We start from the raw sequence: 8,709 nt of genomic DNA on the forward strand, positions 1-8,709 counted from the left end.
ACTATAACAAGAATGCTCTATGATTAGTTTCTTGAAACCTTGAAATTTCCCTATCATTTTTTTTCCCTCTACTTCTTTTTCCAGTGCGGAAGGGATGAATGCTGGAGGGTACGGAAACCTCTTGATGAACAGTGAACAGCCTCAGGGCGAGTATGGGGTTACTATTGCCTTTCTGCGCTTGATCACCACCCTTGTCAAGGTACAGTCTGATTTTGTTCACAAAGGGCAGAAAAAGAAAAGGTCCAGTCTTGTCAGATGACTCTGAAATAGTTTCCCTGGCCCCTGGTGCTGTAATCTTCTTGTCTGTAGGCAGAATAGTCATCTTGAAGTTACAGTGACAACAGTTTCTATGTATTGAGTACCTAGTATGTGCCAGTTATGTACTCTATTAGGTGCTTAATTATGTGAATTTATTTAATGATTGGAAGGTTTATGAAGTAGAATGGAAGAGGCCAAAAGGGTATTGCAGTTACTATCAAGCTATTTTGACAGTAACCTGGGATAATATCATATCCCAGTATATATACATGTGTGTATATTCCTGAAGCAAAATTTCACAGTTTATTTCACAACATTTATTCTTACCACACAAGTTGTACCCTGATATTTTCTATTCAGTCTCCTCCCTATTTAAGTGAATTTTGACCATAGACTGATCTCATAATCTACTAATGGGTTACAACTCGGTTTGAAAAATACTGACATAGAGCATAAATAATGACATAGAGCATAAATTTTGGAGTCAGAATTAGGTTTACATTCAGGTTGACAGCTTACTAGCTGCATGACCTTGAGCAAGTAAAGAATATCTTAAGAGTCTCTAAAACAGAATGCTATATGGTCTCTACCTCATGGGATTGAGAAGAGGGTCATGCATGAAAAAAACTATACTTCCTGCCTGCAGGAATCAATGAATGCTTAAAAAGAAATGATTGTAGGCTGGGTGCAGTGATTCATGCCTGTAATCCCAGCACTTTGGGAGGCCGAGGCGGATGGATCACCTGAGGCTGATCAGGAGTTTGAGACCAGCCTGGCCAACATGGTGAAACCTCATCTCTACTAAAAATACAAAAATTAGCTGGGCGTGGTGGTGGACGCCTGTAATCCCAGCTACTCAGTGGGCTGAGGCAGGAGAATTGCTTGAACCTGGGAGGCGGAGGTTGCAGCGAGTCGAGATCACGCCATTGCACTCCAGCCTAGGTGCCAAGAGTGAAACTCCATCTTGGGGGCGAAAAAAAAGATTGCATATAGAGATAGGAATATATAGATATTTATATATAACTAAAGAGTCCCCATTTTTAGTAGAAGGATGCTACAGTTAACAGATATCATTGGGTATCAGATTTTTGCATATCAGATCTCCTTTCTAGTATTTCAGTGATGGGATTGAGGTTAGGGACGGCTGGCAATCATGATAGTGAAGTGGCATTGTTCATCATCAGCAATCCTCTATCCTTTATGTTTAAGGTGCCTCCCTTCTGTCCAGATTTAGCCTGCATCCCTTTTCTTCGTGTTGGTGCCTTTTGTGACATTCTCTTTCATCACTTTTTCTATTCTAGAAAAGACCCACAACTTGGGCTCAACTATAAAGTAGGACTTTTGATGTTTCTTTTTTTTCATTGATGACCAAGGTTTGCCTAGATTTCCTTTGGACCTATCTATGGTTTTGGAATTAAATCTCTAGGTAACTAAATGACTTTTCCTTAAATGTGCGGAAGTCCTCACTGCATGGTTTCTTGTAGGGGCAACTTGGTAGTACCCAGAGCCAAGGACTTGTACCCTGTGTAATGTTTGTGCTGAAGGAGATGCTTCCCAGCTACCATAAGTGGCGCTACAACTCTCATGGAGTGAGGGAACAGATTGGTAAGGACAGCATGGGCAGGGAAGACCTGGGGATTTCTGGCCCCACTGGAGAGCTTTTTTCTTTCCCTTTCTTGAGATAAGGGGTCATTTCACAAGGCCACATCATTCCTCTGTCTTTTCTGGAGTCCAGGTTGCCTGATCTTGGAGCTGATTCATGCGATACTGAACCTGTGCCACGAGACAGACCTGCACAGCAGGTAATGAAGGGTTGATTACTAGAGCTTGGTGCTCGCCAAGGCAAGACACGGGCTTTTGCTGTGCAAAGCCGTCTCAGTTCTTCCAGAGAATTTACCTTGCTTGAGCCCAGAACTCAGTAATCTTGAGGTTGTTAGTTGCTTTCCATTGGCCTGTTTATCATTTCTCACTGTGGACAGAGAAGTAGGAATGAGAGAGAGAGAGAGAGAGAGAGAGTGTGTGTGTGTGTGTGTGTGTGTGTGTGTGTGTGTGTGTGTGTATGTGTATACATACACTAATATATTAATCATTCTTTATGATCGTTACAAAAGTTCATTCCTGACGAGACACTCTTCATATATATCTGCATCCCAGGGCCAGTTACTATGTATTCTTGGTTTTTTCCTCTTTCTGTATTGACTGTAACTTTCTTTCCATGCTACTGCTTATAGATGTCTTATTTTAATGGTTCTATGCATTCCATCATATGGATTAATTATGATCCTTTTCAGTAGCTGTATCTGTTACTTGATGGACATTTAGATTGCTTCTCAGGGTGATCTTTAGGTGATCAAGTCTGTTTCAGGAAAGTGATCAGAGTGCCTTCAGCTTGCAGAGAGCTGGTCTCCAGTGTCCAGTAGGTTAGGTTAGCCACCCTAGCCTAATTGGACAATGCCCTTCCTTCCAAGATACACTGAGTGGCTCCCTGGTAACTCAGAATACCTCTGTCTTCCAGTCATACTCCCAGCCTGCAGTTTCTCTGCATCTGCAGCCTGGCATACACAGAAGCAGGACAGACAGTTATCAATATCATGGGCATTGGCGTGGACACCATTGACATGGTGATGGCTGCTCAGCCTCGAAGGTAGGGCTCCTTCTCCACGTTCCCTTTGTCTGTCTTTATTGTGCCTGCATGTTACTAATAACTCCAGTTTAAGTTAACTTGCAGTAGCTTTTAGAAGACGACATTGTTCTTCCTAGGACATAGCCTTTACATACCCTAGTGGCTGCTGTATAGATTGGCGTATAGCAAAGGGAGTTGATTACTCCTCCTCTCTCCTAGTTTGGACTGGGGCCTCTAACAGAAGCTGTTGAACTCTGGGATTATTGTTGGAATCTAATTCATGAGAGCACATATATTGCGAATGAAGTCATACTGTCTGAATCATCTTTGGTTTCCATTTGGCACCCTAGTGATGGGGCAGAGGGCCAGGGGCAGGGCCAGCTGCTGATCAAGACAGTGAAACTGGCATTCTCCGTCACCAACAATGTTATTCGGCTGAAACCTCCTTCTAATGTGGTGTCCCCCCTGGAACAGGCTCTCTCACAACATGGTATGTATTTCTCTTCCAGTCACAACATGGTATGTATTTCTCTTCCAGTCATTTTTGCTCATAAATACGTATCTTAGGCAGTGTTTTTGGATGTCAACAGTATTTTCTGCTTCTTGAGGAAGTTTGGGAATGATTACCAGCTCCTTTCCTGAAATTGGAAACAAAAGGACTAGATGGTACTTTATTTCTGCCTCCTATTGATGATAGAATAATAGTTAAGAATGCAGATTTGAAGTCAGACTGCCTTGGTTCAAATTTTGTATCCAATCAACTGTGTGACCTTGGGTACGTTATTAAACAACTCTGCCTCTGATTTCTCATCTGTAAAATGGGGATAATGGTACAGGTTGAGTATCCCTTATCTGAAATGCTTGGGACCAGAAGTGTTTTGGGTTTCAGATTTTTTTTTCATATTTTGGAATAGTTGCAGTATACTTACCAGTTTAGCATAAATCCAAAATGTTCCAGTGAGCATTTCCTTTGAGCTATAGTTAGAGATTTTGACACATTCCAGATTTTTTTTAATTTTTTAATTTTTTTTTTTTTTTTTTTTTTTTTTTGAGACAGTCTAGCTCTGTTGCCCAGGCTGGAGTGCAGTGGCGCAATCTCGGCTTACTGCAGCATCTGCCTCCTGGGTTTAAGCAATCCTCCTGCCTCAGCTTCCCGAGTAGCTGGGATTACAGGCATCTGTCCCACGCCCGGCTAATTTTTGTTTTGTTTTGTTTTATTTTGTTGTTTTGTTCTGTTTGGTAGAGACGAGCTTTCGCTATGTTGGCCAGGCTGGTCTCGAACTCCTGACCTCAGGTGACTTGCCCTCTTTGGCCTCCCAAAGTGCTGGGATTACAGGCATGAGCCACCGTGCTCTAATTTGAGGTTTTCAGATTATGGATGCCTGTAGTATCTTCCTAATAAGATTATAATAAAGGGCTGGGCATGGTGGCTCACGTCTGTAATCCCAGCACTTTGGGACGGTGAGGCTGGGGAGGATACTTTGAGTCCAGGAGTTCGAGACCAGCTTGGGCAAAATAAGGAGACCTCCATCTATACCAAAACAAACAAAAAAAAGTAGCTGGGCCTGGTGGCATATGCCTGTGGTCCCAGCTACTCAGGAGGCTGAGGTTGGGGGATTGTTTGAAGCTTGGCAGGTCAAAGCTGCAGTGAGCCATGATTTTGCCACTGCACTCCAGCTTGGACAACATAGTGAAACCCTCTCTCAAAAAGAAAAAAAGATAGGCTGGGTGCAGTGGCTCACGCTTTTAATCCCAGCACTTTGGGAGGCCGAGGTGGGCGGATCACGAGGTCAGGAGTTTGAGACCAGCCTGGCCAACACAGTGAAACCCCATCTCTACTAAAAATACAAAAGTTAGCTGGGTATGGTGGTGGGTGCCTGTAATCCTAGCACTTTGGGAGGCCGAGGTGGGTGGATCACTTGAGGTCGGGTTCAAGACCAGCCTGGCCAACATGGTGAAACCCTGTCTCTATTAAAAATTTTAAAAATTAGCTGGACGTGGTGGTGCACGCCAGTAATCCCAGCTACTCAGGAGGCTGAGGCAGGAGAATTGCTTGAACCTGGGAGGTGGAGGTGCAGTGAGTCGAGATCGTGCCACTGCACTTCAGCCTGGGTGACTGAGTGAGACTCTGTCTCAAAAAAAATTAATAAATAAATAAAAATTAATAAAATAAGCACCTATTTTATTCAAAATGTATCTTTGCTGTCGATGAGTTGGGTTGAACTGTTTATCCCCAAATTCTGACTATTCTTTTGCTCCTCAATCAAGAGAAGGATACAGCCACCTAGGTTTGCTGTGGCCCTCCAAGTACTTGAGGGTAAATTCCTTCACATACACACTGTGGGTCTTTTTTGAACAGTCAGTGCTCTAAGGACTTGAATTAGGCACACTTGATATCTAAACTGTTTCCTGTGCTGCTTTAGGTGCTCATGGAAACAACCTCATTGCTGTTCTAGCCAAATACATCTACCACAAACATGACCCTGCTTTGCCACGTCTTGCCATTCAGCTGCTGAAACGTCTGGCCACGGTAGGATCGTACTTCATGCACACACACTGTTTATATGAGGGTGTTTTTTTCCCCCTGATTACAAAAGACATGCTCAGGCCACGTGCAGCGGCTTAACGCCTGTATATAATTCCAGCACTTTGGGAGGCCAAGGTGGGAGGATCATTTGAGCCCAGGAGTTCAAGACCAGCCTGGGCCACATAGTGAGACCCCATCTCTAATATAGAAAAAAGGAGAAAAGGCTGCGTGCGGTGGCTCATGCCTGTAATTCCAGCACTTTGGGAGGCTGAGGTGGGTAGATCACAAGGTCAGGAGTTCAAGACCAACCTGGCCAAGATGGTGAAACCCTATCTCTCCTAAAAATACAAAAATTAGGGGGCCGGGCATGGTGGCTCACGCCTGTAATCCCAGCACTTTGGGAGGCCGAGGCGGGTGTATCACAGAGTCAGGAGATCAAGACCATCCTGGCTAATACGGTGAAACCCCTTCTCTACTGAAAAATACAAAAAATTAGCCAGGCATTATGGCAGGCGCCTGTAGTCCCAGCTAATTGGGAGGCTGAGGCAGGAGAATGGCATGCACTAGGGAGGCGGAACTTGCAGTGAGCTGAGATCGCGCCACTGCACTCCAGCCTGGGTGACAGAGCAAGACTCCATCTCAAAAATTAGCCAGGCGTGGTGGCAGGTGCCTGTGATCCCAGCTACTTGGGAGCCTGAGGCAGAGAGTTGCTTGAACCCGGGAGGCAGAAGTTGCGGTGAGCTGTGATCACGCCACTGCACTCCAGCCTGGGCGACAGAGCGAGACTCCGTCTCAAGATAAAAGGAGAAAAAAGACATGCTTATTGTAAAATATTTATTTAAATGTTACAAATAGATGTAACAGAAAGTTAAGATGCCCTATGATCTCCTTATTCCAAGAATCCCTATGGGCAGGGGGATATGCCATGCTCCAGATTTCTTTTTTTTTTTTTTTTTTTTGAAATAGGGTCTGGCTATGTCTCCAAGGCTGTGCTCCACATTTCTTATCTGTGTTCTTGTATTTTAAAAAGTATCGGCTGGGCGCTGTGGCTCACACCTGTAATCCCAGTACTTTGGGAGGCTGAAGCAGGTGGATCATGAGGTCAGGGGTTCAAGACCAGCGTGGCCAAGATGGTGAAACCCCACCTCTACTAAAAATACCAAAATTAGCTGGGTGGCAGGTGCCTGTAATCCCAGCTACTCAGGAGGCTGAGGCAGGAGAATCGCTTGAAACTGGGCAACAGAGGTTGCAGTGAGCTGAGATCACATCACTGCACTCCAGCCTGGGCGACAGAGTGAGACACCGCCTCAAAAAATAAAATAATAAAGGTATTTAGGGCTGGGCGTGGTGGCTCATGCCTGTAATCCCAGGACTCTGGGAGGCCCAGGTGGGTGGCTTGCCTGAGCTCAGGAGTTTGAAACCATCCTGGGCAACACGGTGAAACCCCATCTCTACTAAAATACAAAAAAATTAGCCGGGTGTGGCTGCGTGTGCCTGTAGTCCCAGGTACTCAGTAGGCTGAGGCAGGAGAATTGCTTGAACCCGGGAGGTGGAGGTTGCAGTGAGCCGAGTTCACACCACTGTGCTCCAGCCTGGGCGACAGAGTCAAAAAAAAAAAAAAAAGTATTTGAGTGTGTACTTTTGTTCTTGATAAAAGCAGAATTCCTGGTACTGTTTTTCTTTCTTTTTTTTTTTTTTTTTTGAGACGGAGTCTCGCTCTGTTGCCTAGGCTGGAGTGCAGTGGCGCGATCTCGGCTCACTGCAAGCTCCGCCTCCTGGGTTCAGCCATTCTCCTGCCTTAGCCTCCCGAGTAGCTGGGACTACAGGCGCCTGCCACTGCACCCGGCTAATTTTTTGTATTTTTTTTAGTAGAGACGGGGTTTCACCGTGGTCTCGATTTCCTGACCTCGTGATCTGCCCGCTTGGCCTCCCAAAGTGCTGGGATTACAGGCATGAGCCACCGCGCCCAGCCCTTCCTGGTACTGTTTTTGTTTTGAGACAGTCCCACTCCATCACCCAGGCTGGAGTGCTGTGGCATGATCTCACTGCAGCCTCCACTCCCAGGTTCATGCGATTCTCCTGTCTAAGCCTCCCAGGTTGCTGGGATTACAGGCGCCCACTACAACACCCAGCTGATTTTTTTGTATTTTTAGTAGGGACGAAGTTTTGCCATGTTGGCCAGGCTAGTCTCGAACTCCTGATCTCAAGTGATCTGCCTGCCTCAGCCTCCCAACATGCTGGGATTACAGGCGTGAGCCACTGTGCCTGGCCCCTGGTACTGTTTTATGACTGGCTTCCTTTACTTGATACCATATCAGGCAGTCTTGATGTGCTTCATGCCACATAGGCACATTTGGACTTCCTTCATTCTTTTTTGTCTTTTTTCCTTTTTTTAATTTGGACTTCCTTCATTCTTTTTAATGTTTGCATATCACATCCTAGAATGGATGCATCCTGATTTATTTGCGCTACTTTCTGTCTTTCACTATTACAAGCAGTGCTGCAGTGAACATTATTATCCCTACCACCCTGTAAACATTTGTTTACAGTTCCAAAGATTTATGTAGGTATAAATGAACATGATATTTTTTATTAGATATTTCCAAATTACCTTCCAAAAAACATTGTAACAGTTTATACTTATAACACCAAGTATTCTATCGTTGCTGCAAGGTCTTCATCATTGTTTAGTCTTTGCCAATCTAATAAGCAAAAAAATGTTTCACTTTTCAGTTTGTATTTATTTAACCATGAGGGAAGTTGAGCATTTCTTTATACTGATTACTGTCTTTCCTGTGAATTTGCGGGCATCTCATGCTTGTTTGTGGTGATGTCCCTTTTAGCCCAGAGCTGTAGTCTGGATGCTTCCCTTTCTGCCAATTTTCTGGGAGCTCTTCAGTGCCCTTCTGTGGGAGCCCATTGAGGTTTTTGTGGAAGCAGAGCTCTAAGCCTGTGTGTTCCGGTCTCCACCAGGTGGCCCCAATGTCAGTGTATGCTTGTCTGGGCAATGATGCGGCTGCCATTCGTGATGCCTTCCTGACCCGATTGCAGAGCAAAATTGAGGACATGCGCATCAAAGTCATGATTCTAGAGTTCCTCACTGTTGCAGTAGAGACCCAGCCAGGCCTCATCGAACTGTTTCTGAACCTGGAAGTTAAGGATGGCAGTGATGGCTCAAAGGTAAGCCTGTAACCTGGGATGACACTGGGAGTTGGCTCACTGGGAGGCAGATGCTGGGCTCTGCAAGTACAGCTGCTGGCAGTGGCTGTGGAACTGAACTCTTACCTGTCCCTTCTTGCAG

At 45.1% G+C, this 8,709-nt stretch overlaps 1 protein-coding gene across 1 annotated transcript in view; it reads left to right on the forward strand.

Annotated features, from left to right (window-relative positions):
- The window catches only part of NUP188 (nucleoporin 188), a 59,398-nt gene that overhangs the window by 37,117 nt on the left and 13,572 nt on the right, over positions 1-8,709 (forward strand). The window contains exons 20-26 of the mRNA NM_015354.3: positions 85-199; positions 1,743-1,863; positions 1,994-2,060; positions 2,774-2,902; positions 3,232-3,371; positions 5,305-5,411; positions 8,382-8,588. Of these exons, the coding sequence (NP_056169.1) occupies positions 85-199; positions 1,743-1,863; positions 1,994-2,060; positions 2,774-2,902; positions 3,232-3,371; positions 5,305-5,411; positions 8,382-8,588 (886 nt within the window). The remainder of the gene's footprint in view (positions 1-84; positions 200-1,742; positions 1,864-1,993; positions 2,061-2,773; positions 2,903-3,231; positions 3,372-5,304; positions 5,412-8,381; positions 8,589-8,709) is intronic.

Source organism: Homo sapiens, chromosome 9, assembly GCF_000001405.40.
Source record: "Homo sapiens chromosome 9, GRCh38.p14 Primary Assembly".
NCBI classification, from domain to species: Eukaryota; Metazoa; Chordata; class Mammalia; order Primates; family Hominidae; genus Homo; species Homo sapiens.